This window comes from Homo sapiens, chromosome 22 (genome assembly GCF_000001405.40).
Source record: "Homo sapiens chromosome 22, GRCh38.p14 Primary Assembly".
Lineage (NCBI taxonomy): Eukaryota > Metazoa > Chordata > Mammalia > Primates > Hominidae > Homo > Homo sapiens.
Genome location: NC_000022.11, coordinates 17,165,446 through 17,187,267, shown reverse-complemented (window position 1 = coordinate 17,187,267; position 21,822 = coordinate 17,165,446). Strand labels below are relative to the sequence as shown.

The window sequence follows — 21,822 nt, the reverse complement described above, 5'->3', positions numbered from 1 at the left end:
CAGGAGGATCACTTGAGCCCAGGAGTTTGAGACCAGTCTGGGCAACATAGTAAGATTCCATTCTACACAAAAAGGAAAACAAATTTTTTTTTTTTTTTTTTGAGATGGAGTCTCGCTCTGTGGCCCAGGCTGGAGTGCAGTGGTATGATCTCGGCTCACTTGCAAGCTCGGCTTCCTGGGTTCATGCCATTCTCCTGCCTCAGCCTCCCAAGTAGCTGGGACTACAGGTGCCCGCCACCACGCCCGGCTAATTTTTTGTATTTTTAGTAGAGACGAGGTTTCACTGTGTTAGCCAGGATGGTCTCGATCGCCTGACCTTGTGATCCACCCGTCTAGGCCTCCCAAAGTGCTGGGATTACAGGTGTGAGCCACTGCACCTGGTCAATTTTTTTGTTTTTTGAGATGGAGTCTCACTCTGTCACCCAGGCTGGAGTGCAGTGGTGCGATCTTGGCTCACTGCAACCTCTGCCTCCCGGGTTCAAGTGATTCTTCTGCCTCAGCCTCTGGAGAAGCTGGGATTACGGGCATGCACCACCATGCCTAGCTAATTTTTGTATTTTTAGTAGAGATGGGGTTTCACCATGTTGGTTAGGCTGGTCTTGAACTCCTGACCTCAAGTGATCCACCCACCTCAGCCTCCCAAAATGCTGGGATTACAGGCTTGAGCCACGGAAAAAAATTCTTTTGAGACAGAGTCTTACTGTATCGCCCAGGCTGGAGTGCAGTGGTGCGATCTCGGCTCACTGCAACCTCTGGCTGCCAGGTTCAAGTGATTCTCGTGCCTCAGCCTCCCGAGTAGCTGGGATTACAGGCGCCCACCAACACACCCGGCTAATTTTTGTATTTTTAATAGGGATAGGGTTTCACCATGTTGGCCCAGGCTGGTCTTGAACTCCCAACCTCAAACAATCCACCCGCCTTGGCCTCCCAAAGTGCTGGGATTACCCGGCCTCATGTGATATTTTGATGCCTGTATATAATGTGTATGAATTGGAACACTTTCTGACGCTCTCCATCCTCCGAGTGAATTGTGCTTGAGAGGTTAACTGATCTGCCTAAAGCCACACAGCTGGAAATTGGCAGAAGAGGGAGGAGAACCAGGTCTGCTCCTTGTCTTTAGGATGTTCTGTCCCGCATTATCGTAGGAGAGGAAACCCTGCCCTGCCCCATGCAGGCCCTGGCTGCTGTTCCTCCTGAAACGCCATCAGCCCAGCCACATCTTTCTTTCCCAGAACTCCATCCTTGGGCTCGCTCAGTCATCTCAGCCCCTCCCGTATTCCAGTCCTTAAAATGTGTAAACCCTAACTAAGAAAGATCACGGCTGCAATTTCAGATCCAAAGGAAGATTTGGGAGGAGGCTGTTCACATGGAGGCCGGGACCAGGAGGGCAGCTCTCTTCAGCATCCCACCTGTCACCCTCGGAAGACCAAAGAGGGGTGGAGAGAGTGGTGGGCAATTTCATTTCCCACCCAGGCTTAAGCTCTGCTCTATCACACCTTCTCTCAGAGAAAGGGACCTTGTGCATTAATCTCTTTTTCCTGACATTTCGAGTCAATTTAGATCCAATTTAGATCAAAGTCTGCTCTAGGAGAGCAGAAGAATTGTTTGAGGGGGAGGGGGTTGGGCGAGGGTGTTGTTAACCTTGAAGAGCTTGTGGTCTGGTTGGGGAAAATCATACTTATGTGTGTGAAATAATTCTGGCCCTACAAAACATTGCAGCTCAGGACCTAACAGGTTCCAAGATGTATGGTCCTTGGAGATGATTTTGCCAGGACTTGGGTATCTAATACCTAAAAGTAATGTCCTTATTTTTATTTTTTTATTTTATTTTATTTTATTTTATTTTATTTTTTGAGACGGAGTCTCGCTCTGTCCCCAGGCTGGAGTGCAGTGGCACGATCTCAACTCACTGCAAGCTCCGCCTCCCAGGTTCACGCCATTCTCCTGCCTCAGCCTCCCGAGTAGCTGGGACTACTCGGGCGCCTGCCACCACGCCCGGCTAATATTTTTTGTATTTTTAGTAGAGACGGGGTTTCACCATGTTGGTCATGCTGGTCCGGAACTCCTAACCTCGTGATCCGCCCACCTCGGCCTCCCAAAGTGGTGGGATTACAGGTGTGAGCCACCACACCCGGCCAATATCCTTATTTTTAAAAAGAAAAAGAAATCTTTAAAAACCAGTGAAAATCCACCAAAACACATGTGCTACATAGCAATGGAAATTCTTGAGTTTTATTTCTATCAGGAAAGTGGAGTTTTCATATATATATATATATATATATATTTTGACATGGGCACTCTGTCACCCAGGCTAGAGTGCGGTGGTGTGATGACAGCTCACTACAGCCTCCACCTCTGTCACCCAGGCTAGAGTGTGGTGGCGTGATCACAGCTCACTACAGCCTCCACCTCCTGGGTTCAGGTTATCCTTCCACCTCAGCCTCCTAAGTAGCTGGGACTGCAGCCACATGCCACCATGCCTGGCTAATTTTTGTATTTTTTGTAGAGACAGGGTGTCTCTATGTTGCCCATGGCTGGCCTTGAACTCCTGGGCTCAAGCAATCCTCCTGCCTCAGCCTCCCAAAGTGCTGCGATTACAGGTGTGAGCCACCGCACCCAGCCAGATGTTCATATTTTATATGTGAATCCATTAGAATGCTTATGGCTGCAAGAATAGAGTACATGCATCCCACCGATTTTACAATAAGGACATTTGTTATCTCACGTAAGAAGCAATCTGTGCTATGCCCATTGTGTGGGTGATTCTGCCCCACTTGGTTGTCGGATGGTGAATCACATTTGGGGTGACCACATCCAGTGAAGCAAAATAGGAGACAGCCTCCCAGTGGATCCCCTTTTATCAGGGAGGAATCCCCCAAAGCTCCCCAACAAATAACCTCCCAGTCCAGCGTTAAGGCTATTTTAGCTGTAAGGGAGACTGAGAAAGGCACATCTGACCTTTCATCCTCTACCGAGGGCCCTAGCTGCAAGAAAGGTGTGATGGGGCCGGGCGTGGTGGCTCACGCCTGTAATCCCAGCACTTTGGGAGGCTGAGGCAGGTGGATCACAAGGTCAGGTGATCGAGACCATCCTGGCTAACACAGTGAAACCCTGTCTCTACTAAAAATACAAAAAAAAAAATCAGCTGGGTGTGGTGGCGGGCGCCTGTAGTCCCAGCTACTTGGGAGGCTGAGGCAGGAGAATGGCATGAACCCCGGGAAGTGGAGCTTGCAGTGAGCCGAGACTGCACCACTGCACTCCAGCCTGGGTGACAGAGCGAGACTCCATCTCAAAAAAAAAAAAAAAAAAAAAGAAAGGTGTGATGGGGATGGCAGGGGAGAAGGGAGGCCACAAGACTGTCTGCGGTCATCTAGCGAGTGATAACATCTTGACAGTACTATTAAATATATAAATTAAAGTGAGCACATACAGGTAGTTATACTGATGTTGTCAATAAGAGAACCTGTAACATATTGTTGTAAAGATCATAAGCATAAGAGTCCCAGAGCCCGGTGCGGTGGCTCATGCCTATAATCACAGCACTTTGGGAGGCCTAGGCGGGTGGATCCCCTGAGGTCAGGAGTTTGAGACCGGCCTGGCCGACATGGTGAAACCCCGTCTCTACTAAAAATACAAAAAATAGCCGGGCATGGTGGTGGGCACCTGTAATCCCAGCTACTCAGGAGGCTGAGGCAGGAGAATCCGCTTGAACCCGGGAGGCGGAGGTTGCAGTGAGCCAAGATTACGCCACTGCATTCCAGCCTGGGCGACAGAGCAAGACTCCGTCTCAAAAAAAAAAAAAAAAAAAAAAGAGTGCCACAAAAGAGGAAGAAGGAAAGCGGACTGTGGGGTCAGAGAGACGAAGGTTTAAAACTCAGTTTTGCAGGCCAGGTGCGGCGGCTCACGCCTGTAATCCCAGCACTTTGGGAGGCTGAGGCAGGTGGATCACGAGGTCAAGAAATCAAGACCATCCTGGCCAACATGGTGAAACCCTGTCTCTACTAAAAATACAAAAAATTATCTGGGCGTGGTGGCGTGTGCCCGTAGTCCCAGCTACTCAGGAGGCTGAGGCAGGAAAATTGTTTGAACCTGGGAGGTGGAGGTTGCAGTGAGCTGAGATCGTGCCACTGTACTCCAGCCTGGCGACAGAGCAAGACTGTGTCTCAAAAAACAACAACAACAACAACAAAAAACTCGGTTTTGCTACTTACTGTGTGAACATCCTTGGTCAATTTATAGAAGCTATTAAGTTTCAACTTTCTCATTAGAATGATAAATTAATAAATTAGATGATTAATTTAATAAAGCCATATCATACCTCTCTTTAGCATTGTTAAAAGGAAACTGTGTGTGTGTATTTGTGTTAATGTTAATTTCTCTTCATTTTTGTGCTTGGGGGGCTGTTTATTTGAGGATGGTCGGGGGGCGGGTGGGTCAGACCCATCCATCCCCCATGGAAGACCAGACCCATCCATCCCCCATGGAAGACCATTCCCGTGTGTTCAGACTGGCAGGGTACTTCCATAGACAGGAACATTCTGGATGCTCTGATGCTGAACACTACCAGAATCGGCCATGGATTTGCTTTGAGCAAACACCCCGCAGTCAGGACTTACTCCTGGAAAAAGGACATCCCCATAGAAGTCTGTCCCATCTCTAACCAGGTATGTGTGACCCATGTGGCTAATCCCATATGATCTCCCCTAACCACAACCTCTGCTCTCTTAAACTTTTTGCTGTATAACTTATCTCTCCTTAACTCTCTTGTTACCTACATCCCTCCACTCTCCTACCCCTGTTAGTAAAGTTATTCAGGAGGGGCCTTTTGCCTAAGCCACCAATAAGAATGAGGCAGCAGTGAGGGTCCCCAGTGGGGTGGAATTTTGGGCAAGACTGTAGACAAAGCAAAAAGGACATGGGGGGAGGCCAGTGAAGTGGGACGGACCATGGGATGCTGCTCCCCATGGTTTCTTGGGGTCCTTTGTGTCTGTGTTCAGTTAGCGCTTCTCTGAGCAGGAACAGAAGTGACCCGATGTTTGCAGTGCTGATGAAACATGAGGAGGAGCATAAGGACTGGCTCTGTTCCTTATGTCTCCTTGTGACTCTGCCCAGAAGTCATCCCCATACTGGGGAGATAGTGATGGGAAGATGAAGGGAGCTGATGGGGCTCAAGGTCTCACCTCACTTGTGACTACTCTTTTTAGGGATCAGAGTTCATCTTTCTCCCTTCCCTCCTATTGCGCAGGTGCTGAAACTGGTGTCTGACTTGAGGAACCACCCTGTAGCCACTCTGATGGCCACTGGGCACCCCATGGTGATCAGCTCTGATGACCCAGCTATGTTTGGTGCCAAAGGCTTGTCCTATGATTTCTATGAGGTCTTCATGGGCATTGGGGGGATGAAGGCTGACCTGAGGACCCTCAAACAGCTGGCCATGAACTCTATCAAGTGAGTGTCCTGTGTCCTCCCAGGTCCCCCGCCTCCTTCCAGCCCGCAGCTTGTGTTTGCCTCTCTGGAGGCTTGAGGCAGATGCCTCGATGGTTCCTGTGGGTTCCTTCTCATCATGGCTGTTTAGTCCTTGCTGCTGGCCTGGGGAGAGTGCTCTGCAAGGCTCTAATGTCCTCTCAGGCTCCCTGCCCCGTTCCCCAACCCCTGCCCTGAGGCTGACCTGGGCTCCTCCTCTTCCTGCAGGTACAGTACCCTGTTGGAGAGTGAGAAAAATACTTTCATGGAAATCTGGAAGAAGAGATGGGATAAGTTCATAGCAGATGTGGCTACAAAGTGAGGAGAAGCTAGCCAGCCCTCTACAAGCTGTCTTCTTGCACACGCTGTCACTTCCTCTCACTCGTTCTTGAATCAGCTCCATGTGCCCATGAAATCAATGGCCTCTGTATGGAGCGACCCTGTGAGAAGCACTTGGCTGGCTGAGCAAATTCATCCTCTGGAAATATTCTCTCTCAGCCACAGTGACATTGACCCTCTTGGTTTTCTCCTGTCTCTGGCCATTTCTTCCAGTTTCCCTATTTCAGAGTCTTCTCCTCTCTCTGATCTCTGTGCTGTTTCCTCAGGACTCAGTCCTGGGCTCTCTTCTATTCTGGTCTCTTTATTTTTTTATTTTTGTATTTTTTCGAGATGGAGTTTTGCTCTTGTTGCCCAGGCTGGAGTACAATGGTGCGATCTCAGCTCAGTGCAACCTCCGCCACCCGGGTTCAGGCAATTCTCTTGCATCAGCCTCGCGAGTAGTTGGAATTATAGGCATGTGCCACCACACCCAGCTGATTTTTGCATTTTTAGTAGAGACAGGTTTTCACCATGTTGGCGAGGCTGGTATCCAACTCTTGACCTCAGGTGATCCACTCGCCCCTTGGCTCCCAAAGTGCTGGAATTACAGGCATTAGCCACCATGCCTGGCCTATTCTGGTCTCTTTAACTCTCTCCTCTTTATTTCTCTTCTCTCTCTGTACACTTTTCCTGGGTGGTCTCATCCATTCCTTTGCTTTTTCATACCATTTATTTGTTAATGATTCCCACATTTATTTATGCACTTGGAGAGCTCACAGGAATCTCAGAAACTGATGAGGTACAATTCTGAACCCTCAGTCTCTTCCCTTTAAACCTTTCTTTTTCTCTACTTTAATTTTTCTAAAGAGTGTCTTGCTATGTTGCCCAGGCTGGTCTCCAACTCAAGTGATCCTCCTGCCGCAGTCTCCCGAAGTGCTGGGATTACTGACATGAGCCACCACACTCAGCCCTTTAAACCTTTCCCTGGCCTTTCCCATAGCTGGTGAAGGACACCTCCATCCATTCCACGCAGTTGCTCAAAGCAGAAATTTTCAGTGCAAGTCTTGATGCTGCGCCGTCCCCCACTCCCTACATCAGAACGCATCCCTCATCTGGACTCCAGCGGTGGCTTCTTGATGCTGCGCGGTCCCCCACTCCCTACATCAGAATGCATCCCGCATCCAGACTCCAGCGGTGGTGCTCTACCTGCACGCTGTTGCCAAGTCCAAGCTACCATACTCCTGCCTGAGCTATGACAACAGCCTCCTCACTGATCTCCCCTTTCTTCCCTTTGCCTCCTCCAGCTCATTTTTCACAGTGTAGAATGACATTTTGTTTGTTTGTTTTGTTTTGTTTGAGATGGAGTCTCGCTCTGTTGCCCAGGGTGGAGTGCAGCGGTGCGATCTCGGCTCACTGCAACCTCCACCTCCCGGGTTCAAGCGGATTCTCGTGCCTCAGCCTCCTGAGTAGCTGGGATTACAGGCATGCACCACCATGCCCGGATAATTTTTGTATTTTTAGTAGAGATGGGGTTTCACTATGTTGGCCAGGCTGGTCTCGAACACCTGACCTCGTGGTCCACCCGCCTCGGCCTCCCAAAGCACTGGGATTACAGGCGTGAGCCACCCGGCCTGGCCTAGAATGACTTTTAAAAGATCAAATTAAATCAGGTCACTCCTTTGCTTACAACGCAGTGCGTTTAGAGGTACACCCCATGTCTCCACAGGGCATACAGCATCCGATTTAATCTGGATCCATTCCGGCGCCTTCCTCTCCCAGTCACCCAGAGGGCCCCAACCCCGGCGGCCCTTTCTTCCTCAAATGTCCTCGGCTCTATACCGTGCCTGGGTCTTTTCTCTTTCTCTCTGCCTGGAAGATTCCTTCTTTCCCCTTTTGTCTTGCCCACTCCTGTTTACCCTTCAAGTTTCAAGTTCATGTCACTGTCTCAGAGAGGTTTTCCTGTGCTCGCCCTGTTTCTCTCAGGAAGCCTTGCTCTTTTCCATCATGCCTCTAATCACAGCTTATAATCGGATATTTATTTCTGTGTCTACAGTCTTGCCCTGCCAGACTGTATGCCCCATGTGGGCAGGCGCTCATGATTGTTTCTGATTGTTTCACGCATGCTGCTAACCCAGAGCCTGGGCCCAAAGCTAGTTAGTACTCAATAAACAATGCATTGAATGAGTGGCTGTCACTGTGTCTGTTCAGCCAGCTGCCAAGGCAGAGGGGAGTAGAGCAGAGCCGCCCCAAATAAAAGACCTCATGTGATCAGAGTCCAGCTCCTCACCTGGCCTTGGAAGAAGGATGCAAGAAGCCACCTCTGTCCTCACCCAACTCAAGGATGGCAGGGAATCAAAGAATTCCTCAAAAGCCCCAGGCGAATGTCCTCTCATCCATCTTCCATGACCTGTACCTGAGCTCTCAGACAGCAGCAAGCCCTCTCTCCATTCCTAGTTTATCACCATTTGGTTCCTGGAACTGGGAAAAAACAGCAACCATAAGCTGTGCCTGGATGGAAGAAGACAACCTCTAGGGTCCTGTCTAACTCTGCAGGTGATTCAGTGCCTTACCCAATCCCTGAAGATCTTTTAGGTCCCAACTGCGCAGGGGACCTCCAACACAGGCAGACGCAAACAGCCTCTGGCCTGGACTTGCTGTGATCTCTGATTTGGCAAAATGAACCAGCAATAGTCTTGCCTTTGTGCTTTGTGTCCAGTTCTTCCTTCTTTTTTTTTTTTTTTTTTTTTTTTTGAGACAGAGTGTCTGTTGCCCAGGCTGGAGGGCAGTGGCGCGACCTTGGCTAACTGCAACCTCTGCCTCCCGGGTTCAAGCAATTCTTCTGCCTCAGCCTCTCGAGTAGCTGGGTTTACAGGCACCTGCCATCACGCCTGGCTAATTTTTGTATTTTTAGTAGAGACGGGGTTTCACTGTGTTGGCTAGGCTGGTCTTGAACTCCTGACCTCATGATCTGCCCGCCTCGGCCTCCCAAAGTGCTGGGATTACAGGTGTGAGCTGCCACACCCGGCCTTTTTTTTTTTTTTTTTTTTTTTTGGAGACAGTGTCTCACTATGTTGCTCAGGCTGATCAACTGATCTCAAACTATGGCCTCAAGTTATCCTCCTGCCTCAGCCTCCTGGATACCTGGGATTACAGGCACTAGCCACCACATCCAGTCTTTAAGCTTTTAAATTCAACTTACAAAGCTTGTTAGTTCTTCCTTCTTGACTTTATTCCTCATTGCATAGGCCTAGTCCTATTGAACTAAATGTCCATGGAGCATTTATCTGATCATTTTGAAATAATTTCAAAAAGTTGCAAGAATAGTACAAAAAACTCTTACCAGGCCAGGCACAGGGGGTCACGCCTGTCATCCCAGCACTTTGAGAGGCCGAGGCGAGTGGATTGCTTGAGCCCAGGAGTTTGAGACCAGCTTGGGCAACATGGCCAGACCTCATCTCTACTAAAAATACAAAAATTAGCTGGGCATGGTGGGGTGTGCCTGTGGTCCTAGCTATTCAGAAGGCTGAGGTGGGAGGATTGCTTGAGCCCAGGAAGAGGAGGTTGTAGTGAACTGAGATCACACCACTCCACTCCAGCCTGGCCAATAAAGCGAGACCCTGTCTCAAAAAAACAAACAAAAATAACAACAACAACAACACAAACCTCTAACATTCTCTTTGCCCAGGTTCCCCCAGTTATTAACATTTTACAACATTTGATTCCATATATCATTCTTTCTCTGTTTCTAATTGCTCTCTCTATATATCCTATTTTTTTTAACCACTCGAGACTAAGTTGCAGATATTATGCCTTTTATTCCTAGATTCTCCAGTGCACATTTCCTAAAGACAGTGACATTCTCCTATGGAGCCACAGTACATCCAATCAAATCAGAAAAGTATTAACATTGAAAAGACGCTAGTATCTGGCTCTGGCCCTGCTGAGCTTTGTTTTGTTTTGTTCTTGGTCCAGAACCCAATCCAGGATCACAAGTTACATTTAGCTGTCAACTCTCTAGTCTCTTTCAGTCTGAAATAGCTTCTTAGTCTTCCTTTGTGTTTTGGAACCTCATTTTTGAAGAGTACAGGCCAGTTACTTCATAGACTATCCCTCATTTCAGGTTCATCTAATGTTTCCCTAGGAAGAGGCTCAGGGGATACCTTTTTGAGAGGAGCACCTTGGCAGCGAGGCTTTGTCCTTCTCAGTGTACACACCAGGGGCACATGAATGGGGCCAAGTGTTATACTTCCAGCTTGTTGTTAAACCTTTAGGAGTCTGGAATTGGTCTTGATGGGAATTTTTTTTTTTTTTTTTTTGAGACAGGGGTCTCACTCCATTGCCTAGGCTAGAGTGCAGTGGCAGGATCGCTGTTCATTGTAGCCACTACCTCCTGGGCTCAAGCAATCCTCCTGCCCAGCATCCAAAGTAGTTGGGACTACAGGCGTGCACCGCCACCTCGGCTAAGTTTTCTTTCTTTTTACTTTTTGTAGAGATGGGATCATGCTATACTGTCTAGCCTGTCTCAAACTCCTGGCCTCAATCCATCCTCCCGCCTCGGCTTCCCAAAGTGCTGGGATTACAGGCATGAGCCACGACACCAGGCTTGTGGGAGTTTTTGTGCCACAAAAATCAGCAAATGTTACAAATCCATGTCCCCACCAGCCAGCTGTTACACATTTGCCAGCATACTGATGCATACAATGTTAATTTGTCTCAATATGATACTGACTTTGATCGCTTAAGTTGATTTCTGCCAGAATTTGCCATTGCGAAGTTACCATTTTTCCCTTAGTAATTAACACATATTTGGAGAGGAGACACTTTATGTAAAAGTCTTCACTCCTCCTTAAAACTTTACCCATTAGTGCTTGCATCCACTGAGGACTTTTGTCTAAATCTGCTATTACTATCATGGTTGCTGTTCCGTTTATTGCTGTGTAGCAAATTATCCCAAAACGTAGTGGTTTGAAACAAAAATAAAAATTTATGGGGCCAGGCGTGGTGGCTCACATCTTTAATCCCAGCACTTTGGGAGGCCGAGGCGGGCGGATCACCTGAGGTCAGAAGTTTGAGACCAGCCTGACCAACATGGGGAAACCCCGTCTCTACTAAAAATACAAGATTAGCCAGGCATGGTGGCGCACGCCTGTAATCCTAGCTACTTGGGAGGCTGAGGCAGGAGAATAGCTTGAACCCGGGAGGCGGAGGTTGCAGTGAGCCGAGATGGTGCCATTGCACTCCAGCCTGGACAACAAGAGTGAAACTCCATTTCAAAACCAAACCCAAAACAAACAAACAAATTTATGATCTCTCCCAGTGTCTGTGGGTCAGGGGTTTGGGCAGAGCCCAGCTGGACAGTTCTGCTCTGGGTCTCTCATGAGGTCCTTGTCACAGTGGAGGCAGAGCTGGAGCTGACGGGCCGCCAGGGGTCACCTCTCTGCACAGCCCCAGGGCTCAGCTGGTGCTCTCCTATGGCTAGTTTGGGCTTCTTCCCATTGGCCTCAACTTCTGGGGTAAGTATTCCACGGAATAAATGGAAGATTCTGGAAGTCACATGGCATTATTTCTGCCATACTTCGTTGGTCCCAACAGTAACAAAAAACACCTCCTGGTTTTAAGCGGAGGAGACAGAGATCCCAACTTTTGATAGAAGATTGTCAAAGTCACATTATAAAAAAGAATATATAGGATAAGAGAAGTCGTTGGAAAATATTTTGGAAAATACAACCATCAAATGGTGATTTTTTTTTCCTTCCTTCCTTCTTTTTTTTTTTTTTTTTTTCTTTTTCTGGGTCTCGCTCTGTCACCCAGGCTAGAGTGCAGTGGTATGATCACGACTCACTGCAGCTTTGACCTGTTGGGCTCAAGAAATCCTCCAGCCTCAGCGTCTCAAGTAGCTGGGACTACAGGTATGCATCACCGCAACCAGCTAATTAAAACTTTTTTTTTGATACAAACAAAGTCTCACTATGTTGCCCAATATGGCTCAAACACCTGGGCTCAAGCAATCCTCTCACCTCAGCCTCCCAAAGCATTGGGATTATAGGCGTGATCCACTGTGCCTGGCCAAAATGGTGATTTTCTAATTCTACCATTTCTTCCATATTAGTTGCCATTTTGCTGCAAGGAAGAACAATTCCTTCCCTCCCAGCTTCCTTTTTTCCTTTTTTTTTTTTTTGAGACAGAGTTTTGCTCTTGTTGCCCAAGCTAGAGTGCAATGGTGCAGTCTCGGCTCACTGCAACCTCCACCTCCCAGGTTCAAGTGATTCTCCTGCGTCAGCCTCCCAAGTAGCTGAGACTTCAGGCGCCTACCACCACGCCTAGCTAATTTTTGTATTTTTGGTAGAGATAGGGTTTCACCATGTTGGCCAGGCTGGTCTCGAACTCCTGACCTCAGGCGATCCGCACGCCTCGGCCTCCCAAAGTGCTGGGATTATAGGCGTGAGCCACTGTGCCCGGCCCCTTTTTTCCTTCTAGCTGTACGACTCAGGGATTCAGGTTGTATTCAATGAGCTATAATCCATTACTAGCACTATTTATTGTGATGCTTACACTATTCCAGATCTGGCCATGGGAGCCCTGTTAAGTTGGCTGCTGATAAAGTTCTATAATTGAGAACTTTCTTACTTTTTCCTTTTTTTTTTTTTTTTTGTGACAGGGTCTTGCTCCATCCCCCAGGCTGGAGTACAGTGGCACCATCACAGCTTATTGCAGCCTTGACCCCACAGGCTCAAGAGATCCTCCTACCTCACCCTCCCTAGTAGTTGGGACTACAAGCACGTACCACCACGTCTGGCTAATTTTTGTATTTTTTGTAGAGATGGGGTTTTGCCATGTTGCCCAGGCTGGTCTCAAACTCCTGAGCTCAAGCAATCTGCCCACCTCAGCCTCCCAAAGTGCTGGGATTATAGGTGTGAACCACTGCATCTGGCCATTCTTCCTTACGCAATAAAATGTTCTACCTTCATTTTGTACTTTCCCTGTGTCATGCCTGAGCTCAGCCATTTCTCCAGGGAGCTCTGTTCCTTTCAGTAGAGAATAATATTTAGTAGCCCTGATCTAGGCACTAGATGTGCTCATTGTTACTGGAGTGTGTGTGTGTGTGTGTGTGTGTGTGTGTAGACACAGAAATACAATTTATGCATATTAAAATGGGAATATTATGGCCAGGCATGGTAGCTCATCCCTGCAATCCTAGCACTTTGAGAGGCTGAGGCGGGTGGATCACTTGAGGTCAAGAGTTCGAAACCAGCCTGGCCAACATGGTGAAACCCCGTCCCTACTAAAAATAAAAAAAATTAGCCAGACATGGTGGTGGGCACCTGTAATCCCAGCTACTCAAGAGGCTGAGGCAGGAGAATCGCTTAAACACAGGAGGCGGAGGTTGCAGTGAGCCAAGATCATGCCACTGCACTCCAGCCTGGGCGAGACTCTGTCTCAAAAACAAACAAACAAGCATCCAAAACAAAACAAATAAAAAAAATGGGCAGGAAGAGGGAAAGAGTTGAAAAAAGAAGAGAAAACGATGGAATTGTTAGACTGGAAGTGGCCACTGGAATGGAAAGAGTTGAAAAAAGAAGAGAAAACGATGGAATTGTTAGACTGGAAGTGGCCACTGGAATGGAAAGAGTTGAAAAAAGAAGAGAAAACGGTGGAATTGTTAGACTGGAAGTGGCCACTGGAATGGAGGGCTCGGCTACCTTAGCAGTGCTCCCGAAGCTGCCATTTCAGAGGAAATGTGTGTTAGTCAGATTTTATTCTTTTTTCCTTAAGAAGACCCTTCAAATATGTATAAACCTCAGGACTGCCCCAAAATCTGGATCTGCGCCTGCTCTAGATCAGCTCTTCATTTGGAAGGAGGAAAGCGAGGTGGAGGTGTGTTCGTTTGAAAAGACTAGCTGAAAAGAGAAAACTTACAGGAGCCTCAGCTTGTGAGGGACCTTGAAAGACTATGCAACCAGCCTCACCTTCAGGAAGAGCAGCCCGAGACTTCCTCAGGAAGATGTCCCTGTTTCTTTTTATTTTCTTTTTTTTTGAGACTGAGTCTCACTCTGTCGCCCAGGCTGGAGTGTAGTAGCATGATCTCGGCTCACTGCAACCTCCACCATCCCAGTTCAAGTGATTCTCCTGCCTCAGCCTCCCTAGTAGCTGGGATTACAGGCACGCGCCATCACACCTGGCTAATTTTTGTATTTTTAGTAAAGTCGGGGCTTCACCATGTTGGCCAGGCTGATCTCGACCTCCTGACCTCAAGTGATCTGGCTGCCTCGGCCTCCCAAAGTGCTGGGATTACAGCCGTGAGCCACCGCACCCGGCGCCTGTTCCATTCTTAAAGCTCACCAGAACGCGATTCTGTAAACTGCTTCAGCCACCCATTCCGGAATCCCAAATGACGCCTTCCCATGGTCAGGATTTCAATGAGTGGTGCCATCCTTGGCTCTCACAGGAACTGATCCCTTGGGGAGGACTGTATGAAAATGCATCTGTAAGCTCAGATGAAGTCAGCATGCTAGGGTTGGAAATATTATTTTCACATACATAGTCTAGGTTACTTAATTTATTGTTTTGAGACAGGGTCTCACTGCCCAGCCTGGAGGGCAGTGCTGTGATCATAGCTCACTATAATCTTGAACTCCTGGGCTCAAGGGACCCTCCCGCCTCAGCCTGCCTCTCCAGTAGTTGGGACGACAGACGCGCACCACCACGCCCGGCTGTTTAATAGAGATGGGGGTCTCCTTTTGTTGCCCAGGATAGTATTGAACTCATGGCCTCACGTGATTCTCCTGCCTGTATCTCCCAAGGCACTGGGATTACAGGCCAGAGCCACCTTGCCAGGCCAGTATGTTACTTTAAATAGCAGTCATCCTAAAAATAGCTTACCCTCCTCTGTCCTTCCCTGCCTGGAAAGGGTGTAAAAATAACATTTGGGGGCTGTAAATGCTGTCTAGATCTCTGGAGCTAGGTAGGTGCAGAGGTGTGATTTGGGTTTGGCTGTGCTCCGAAAAAACCGGGGCCGAGCTGCTGGTTTTGAATTTGTCCAGGCTTTTTAGCCAATAGCCTCTTCCTCCGCCGGGAAGGGGTGGGACCCAGCCTTCCAAAACACCTTTGCTGAGGAACCGTGCAAAGACCTTGGATGAGGGCCCCAGCTCAGCCAGGCCTCCCTGAAGCGAAGCCAGCCCGGGGTGGGGACTGGTGGAGGGACTAGAGTTTCTTAGATTCACAGAATAGCAGAGCTGGGAGAGGCCTAAAGACCATCTTATCTACGCGTTTGTGTTTCTGATGACTGATTAAGGCCCAGAGAGGGTCAGTAACTCTTCCAGGTCGCACAGTGGGTGACAGTAGGTATGTGCTCGTCCTGGGACACAGAGCTGTTTTCTTCGCTTGTCTGGAGTGGGTTTCGGGGGTCGGCACTTGCCTCCCAGTGAGCTCCCGGCGCCTGCCAGTCCTGGCTGAGTGGGATCGGTCGGCCTCCACCCCTAATCTCCCCCGCTGCAGAGCCAAAGCACACCGGCCTCCAGGGGGCGCCGCCTCCGGGACGCGCCGACTCTCCCGAGCCCTGCTCTCTCTGGCCGGGGTCAGCCCCGGAAACAGCTTCAGTTTCCTGTCCCTTCCTCCCTGGGAGCAAGGATGTAGGCGCCCAGACCCCGCCCGCGGGCTCCCTTCGTCCGGCGTCCCTAGCGGCCCGCCCGGTCCCGCCGCCCCGCGGCTTGCGGATGGCTGCGGCCCCCCGGGCCCCGGGTGGCTGCGGTGGCGGGGAAACGGCAGAACGCAGGCGGCGATTCGCTGGGGACGGCGGCCGGAGGGAGGCGATGGCCCCAGGCTCGGCGCACCTGTGGAACTGCGCGGGCGGCGCGGCGCTGCTGCCCCCTGCCGGCCGCGCCCGGGCCCACTCCCGTGTCCACCCCGGCCCGGGTGCCCTCGGAGTCCCTCGCGTCACTGTGGGCAGCGCCAAGCTACGGCTTCCCATGGCAGAGCGGGGTGGGGCCGCGGGACGGCACAGAGCTCCCCTGCCGCGAATACGCCGGTTTAGTTGCTTCCCACAGATCACACATGGTCTCGCCTGTCCGCAGGGTCCCCTCCCGGCCTCAAGCCCCTGCCAGGCAGCATCGGCCGCTGGTGACCTTGGGTCATCCTGGCCTCTATGCATTTAGAGTAGACGCCGGGTGGTGGCGGCGCCTGTAGTCCCGCATTCTGGGAGGCCCAGGCGGGGCGCTAGAGCCCAGGAGTTCTAGACCAGCCTGGGGAAAACAGCGAGACTCTGTCTCTTCAAAACAAAACAAAAACAAACAAACAAAAAAGGGTAGAGCCCATAGTACAGGATGAGAGAGTAGTGCCGTAATGAATTTTAAATTTTAATTACATTTAAAATTAAAATGAATCTATATACAATCACATTTCAAAAATTCAAAAAGTATGAAAAGGAACACATTCGAAAGGCTTCTATCCACCTCTGTTTTCCACTGTCCTCTTTCCCATCCCACCCATTCTCCCACCAGGCTTAGTTTCTTGTGTTTCTTTATGCAAAATAAACAAAAGCAAATATATATATTTTTTCCTGCTCTCATATAAAAGGCAGCACAGTATCCACACTGTTCTGAACTCTTTTTTTTTTTTTTTGAGACAGGGTCTCACTCTGTTCCCCAGACTGGAGTGCAGTGGCACAATCTCAACTCACTGCAGCCTCCACCTCCTGGGTTCAGGCTATTCTCCTGCCTCATCTGGACCACAGGCGCACACCACCATGCCCGGCTAATTTTGTATTATTATTTTTTTCGAGATGGAGTCTTGCTCTGTCGCCCACAGATGGAGTGCAATGGTGCGATCTCGGCTCACTGCAACCCCTGCCTCCCGGGTTCAAGCAATTATCCTGCCTCAGCCCCCCGAGTAGCTGGGATTACAGGTGTGCGCCACCACACCTGGCTAATTTTTGTATTTTTAGTAGGGACGGGGTTTCACCATGTTGACTAGGCTGGTCTTGAACTCCTGACCTCATGATCTGCCCACCTCGGCCTCCCAAAGTGCTGGGATTACAGGCGTGAGCCACCACGCCCTCCCTAATTTTTTTATTTTTATTTTTTATTTTTTTGAGATGAAGTCTTTGCTCTTGTCACCCAGGCTGGAGTGCAATGGCACCATCTTGGCTCACTGCAACCTCTGCCTTCCAGGTTCAAGCAATTCTCCTGCCTCAGCCTCCCAAGTAGCTGGGATTACAAATGCACACCACCACGCCCGGCTAATTTTTGTATTTTTAGTAGGCCAGGCTGGTCTCGAACTCCTGACCTCAGGTGATCCAGCCACCTCCCAAAGTGCTGGGATTATAGGCATGAGCCAACGTGCCCAGCGAATTTTTGTATTTTAGTAGAGACGGGGTCTCACCATGTTGTCCAGGCTGGTCTTGAACTCCTGACCTCAAGTGATCTGCCTGCCTCAGCCTCCCAAAGTGCCGGGATTACAGGCCTGAGCCACTGCGCCCCGCCTGGATCTCAAGTCTTGATAAGATTTAGGATTGATTCTTTCAGCAGGACTACTTAACAGGTGGTGTGCCTTCCAATTTGCATCCCAACCGTATTAGGGTTCTCCAGAGAGACAGAACCTATAGCATGCAGGTAGGTAGGTAGGTAGATAGATAGATAGATAGATAGATAGATAGATAGATAGATAGATAGATAGATAGAGATAGGAGACAGACAGATAGATGAGAAGGGATTTATTAGGTGAATTGGCTCCACGTGATTATGGAGGCCTGAGAAGTCCTACGACAGGCCGCCTGGAGACCTGGGGCTGCTGGGAGCATGGCTCAGTTCAAATCTGAAAGCCTCTGAACCAGGGGAGCTGAAGGTGTGACTCAGTCTGAGACTGAAGGCCTGAGAACCTGGGGGGCTGCTGGTGCAAGTCCCAGCATCTAAAGGTCAAGACCCTTAGACTTCTGATGTCCAAGGGCAGGAGAAGAAGGCTGTCCCAGCTCCAGGAGAGAGACAGCAAATTTGCCCTTCCTCTGCCTTTTTGTCCTACCGAGGCTCCCAGCTGATTGGATGGTACCCTCCCATATTGACAGGGCGTCTTCCCCACTCAGCCTACCAACTCATACGCCAGTCTCCTCTGGAAGCAGCCTCACAAGACACTGCTTTACCAGCTATCTAGGTGTCCCTCAATCCAGTCAAGTTGACTCCAAAAAGTAACCATCAAATACAATGAAGTGCAGCCAGTCAAAGGCTGGGACCCATCCATGGCTGGAGCCACAGGGGCAGCAGCCAGTGGGGTCACTTGGAGTCAGGGCATGGGGAGACAGCATCAGGCAGTGGCTCCATCTGCTCAGCCCACCCGTAAGCCTGGGCTCTGGAGGGCAACTGACTCCCCCAGGAGCCTTCCCTCTGCCTATCCCTGGAGTTCCCTCCCCTCCTATGGGAGTCTGGGGGCCTTCAGGAGCTGATCCCCTTGCCTGCATGCCAGTCTCCCTAGGAAGGATCTTGCAGAATGAGCCCAGGTTCAGCTCAGAGACTCTCTGGTGCCAGCTGCCCCTTCTCAGGGTCGGTGGCAGGAGAGTGTGAGGGCTGAGCTAAGTGCATCAATGCCCCGTTTGCCCCTAGGATTCGGAAGAGGCCATGGCAGGAGCTGTATTTGGAGGGTCCAGGCACTGCCCTGACTGGGAAGTGCAGTGCAGCCTAGGGATGGGCCAGGGAGCTCACAATGACAAGAGGGCAGAGAGCAGGGAGTCTATCTGCCCTCCTGGGGAACAGCCACCAGGTACCAAGCAGGGAGGCTAGCAGCCCAGCCCAGGGACTTGCGTGGACTTCGCATGCTTCCCACATGCTTAGAACTCTGTCAGGGGCCAGGCACGCTGGCTCCAGCCTGTAATCCCAGCAGTTTGGGAGGCCAAAGCAGGTGGATCACCTGAGGTTAGGAGTTCAAGACCAGCTTGGCCAACTTGGTGAAACCCCATCTCTACAAAAATTAGCCAGGCATGATGGTGGGAGACTGTAATCCCAGCTACTCCAGAGGCTGAAGGGGGAGAATCACTTGAACCCGGGAGGCGGAGGTTGCTCTGAGGCGAGATTGTGCCATTGCACTCCAGCCTGGGCAACAGAGTGAGACTCCGTCTCAAAAAAAAAACAGAACAAAACAAAACACAAAACAAACAAAAAAAGAACTCTGTCAGACTGGGTGCAGTGGTTCATACTCTTGTAATCCCAGCACTTTGGGAAGCCAAGGCGGGTGGATTGCTTGTGCTCAGGAGTTTGAGACCAGCTTGGGCAACACGTCGAAACCCCATATCTGCCAAAAAATACAAAATTTAGCTGGGTGTGGTGGGGAGGCTGAGGTAGGAGGATTGCTTGAGCCCAGGAGGTCGGGGCTGCAGTGAGTCGAGACTGAGTGACTGCACTCCAGCCTGGGCAACAGAAGGAGACCCAGTCTCTAAAAAAAAAAAAAAAGAAAGAAAGAAAAAGAAAAGAAAAAGAACTCTGTCTACTGATGTTTCTGATGTTTCCTTCCTCCCTCCTCTTCATCTCTGTTGGGTTTTAAAATTTCCTTGATCAAGCTTCTCTTGCCTTTCCTTTTCTTTCTTTCTTTCTAGCTTCTCCTTTCTCCTATTCCCTCCTCTCCTCTCCTTTTTATTGCCCCTTTCCCACAAGAAACCAGCCTGTCTTCAACGTGGATACAGTGGACTGGGCAGAAGGAGCCAGCCTGGCGCAACTGGCCCTGGGGGCAACTCAGAGCCTGAATCTCTAGTGCTCTCTCCTCTGCCTGCACTTGGAGCCATGACCCAGCCTGACCCTCCACAGGGACCGTGCCAAGGGCTCTGTCCCTTGCCAGCATTTCAGGCGCTTTGGGCCAGCTGGCCTCTTTTGGGCCAGAGTTCCCTGGAGCAAGTGACGATGGGCGGGGAGAGGATGGTACTGACACAGGAAGGGAACAGGGGGACATGGCAAAGGCAGAAGCTGGGCAGGACTGGGGATGGGAGCACCCCATCAGGAGCACTGGGCTGAGGAGCGGTGTCTGTTTGGCCAGGAAGCTCCCTGAGTTACTTTTTCCTTTTTTTTTTTCTGTTGAGACGGAGTCTCACTCTGTTGCCCAGGCTGGAGTGCAGTGGCGCGACCTCGGCTCACTGCAAGCTCCACCTCCCGGGTTCACACCATTCTCCTGCCTCAGCCTCCCGAGTAGTTGGGACTACAGGTGCCTGCCACCACGCCCGGCTAATTTTTTGTATTTTTAGTAGAGACGGGGTTTCACCGTGTTAGCCAGGATGGTCTCGATCTCCTGACCTTGTGATCTGCCCGCCTCGGCCTCCCAAAGTGCTGGGATTACAGGCGTGAGCCACCGTGCCCGGCCTCCCTGAGTTACTTTCTTCTATACATGGGTCAGGATGTTGGAAGGTCACCCTTCCACCCCTGCCCCCCAGCTATGGCAAGGAGCGTTGAGGCCGAGGGTGAGGGTGGATGGGCTCAGTGACAGAGTGTTCAGCCTGGGAGGTGCCTAATCTTTTCTATAAATGTCACCTGCCTATGAATCAGGGCCACACATTCCATCTCAGACTGGGTCACCATCCCAGCTTACTGACCAGGACCCCAGCCCCAGTCCACTGCAGCCCTAGCACACATATCTCTGGCAAGCCTTGGAAGCACCTCATTCATCACCTCTTTTTCCCAATGCCTGGGCACAGCCATAAAGGGGCCTGAGAGTTTGGGAGTCAAAATCTTGTTACCCTCAGCCCAGAATTAACATGGCCATGTCCTGCACCTGACTTTTTCTAAGCAGGAGAGACAGGTGGGCTTGATAACATGAAAGAACTTGTCCCAAAATCCGTGCAGTGTGTAAGCTTGCCACTGGAGCCCTCGGGCCTGTCTCTGCCTGTCGCTTCGCCTTGTCATTCTCATAGTGCCCCTTGCCTTTGCCTTCCTTGCCACGTGCAGAGTTTATGTTCAGGATAGGACCAAGTGTCAGGTATTGATGCCACAGAGGGAATGAGCTCACCTTTTAGCATTCTCTGTTCTCCCTGTGGTTCTTGCCTTCAGAAGGGACCTGGGGAGTCAGGGAGGAACGGTCCCGAGATGGCATGGGCACCTGAACTCTCATTACAACAGAGGCGCCAGTTATTCTGCTCATCTGCGGGGGATGGGAAGGTGCAGTAGGGGTCTCTAGTATGGGGCTGGTGGGGAAAGAGGCTGTTGGAGTTTTAGGAATAAATCACTTTCGGAGGCCAAGGCGGGAGGATTGTTTAAGGCCAGGAGTTGAGACCAGCCTGGGCAACATAAGGAGACCCCATTTCCAAAAAATATTAGCCTGGCACAGTGGCGTGTGCCTGTAGTCCCAGCTACTCAGGAAACTAATGTGGAAGGATTGCACCAGTGCACTCCAGCCTGGGCGACAGTGAGAACTTGTCTCTTAAAAAAAAAAAAAAAAAGAGGCCAGGTGCAGTGGCTCGTGCCTGTAATCCCAGCACTTTGGGAGGCCAAGGTGGGCGGATCACTTGAGGTCAGGTGTTCAAGACCAGCCTGGCCAACATGGTAAAACTGGAGCCCATGGTGAAAACTTGTCTCTACTAAAAATGCAAAAATTAGCCAGGTGTGGTGGCGCACGTCTGTAATCCCAGCTACTCTGGAGGCTGAGGCAGGAGAATCGCTTGAACCCAGGAGGTGGAGGTTGCAGTGAGTTGAGATCGTGCCACTGCACTCCAGCCTGGGTGACAGAGTCAGACTCCATGTCAAAAAAAAGGCAAGGTATGGTGGCTCATACCTGTAATCCCAGCACTTTGGGAGGTGGAGGCAGAAGAATTACTTGAGGCCAGGAGTTCTAGACCAGCCTGAGTGACATAGTGAGACCGTGTCTAGAAAAAAAAAATTCGCTGGGCATGGTGATGCAAGCCTGTGATCCCAGCTACTTGGAGGCTGAGGTGGGAGGATTGCTTGAGGTCAAGGCTGCAGTGAACTTTGATCGCGCCACTGCACTCCATCCTGAGCGACAGAGACCCTGTCACACACACACAAAAGGAACCCAGGCTTTCCTGCTTAAATCTAAATCATTGAAAAAGAGACAAGGGACATA

The 21,822-nt window shown here is 50.2% G+C and overlaps 1 protein-coding gene across 8 annotated transcripts in view, besides 3 other annotated features; it reads left to right on the top strand.

Annotated features, from left to right (window-relative positions):
- The window catches only part of ADA2 (adenosine deaminase 2), a 43,059-nt gene extending 34,581 nt beyond the window's left edge, over positions 1 to 8,478 (top strand). For all 8 annotated transcript variants that reach the window (NM_001282227.2, XM_011546133.3, NM_001282229.2 and 5 more), the window contains 3 exons: positions 4,507 to 4,664; positions 5,246 to 5,448; positions 5,692 to 8,478. In NM_001282227.2, the coding sequence (NP_001269156.1) occupies positions 4,507 to 4,664; positions 5,246 to 5,448; positions 5,692 to 5,785 (455 nt within the window). In that variant the 3' untranslated portion in view covers positions 5,786 to 8,478. The remainder of the gene's footprint in view (positions 1 to 4,506; positions 4,665 to 5,245; positions 5,449 to 5,691) is intronic.
- Positions 15,322 to 15,751: a silencer, noted in NCBI's record as "silent region_13435". NCBI's record gives its function as "represses an Ori minimal core promoter by ATAC-STARR-seq in GM12878 lymphoblastoid cells {active_cell/tissue: GM12878}" and the evidence as "EXISTENCE:reporter gene assay evidence [ECO:0000049][PMID:35858748]".
- Positions 15,322 to 16,103: a biological region, named in NCBI's record as "H3K27ac hESC enhancer GRCh37_chr22:17652055-17652556".
- Positions 15,602 to 16,103: an enhancer, noted in NCBI's record as "H3K27ac hESC enhancer chr22:17652055-17652556 (GRCh37/hg19 assembly coordinates)". NCBI's record gives its function as "activates a minimal SCP1, AML or CMV promoter by ChIP-STARR-seq in naive H9 embryonic stem cells {active_cell/tissue: H9 hESC(naive)}" and the evidence as "EXISTENCE:reporter gene assay evidence [ECO:0000049][PMID:30033119]".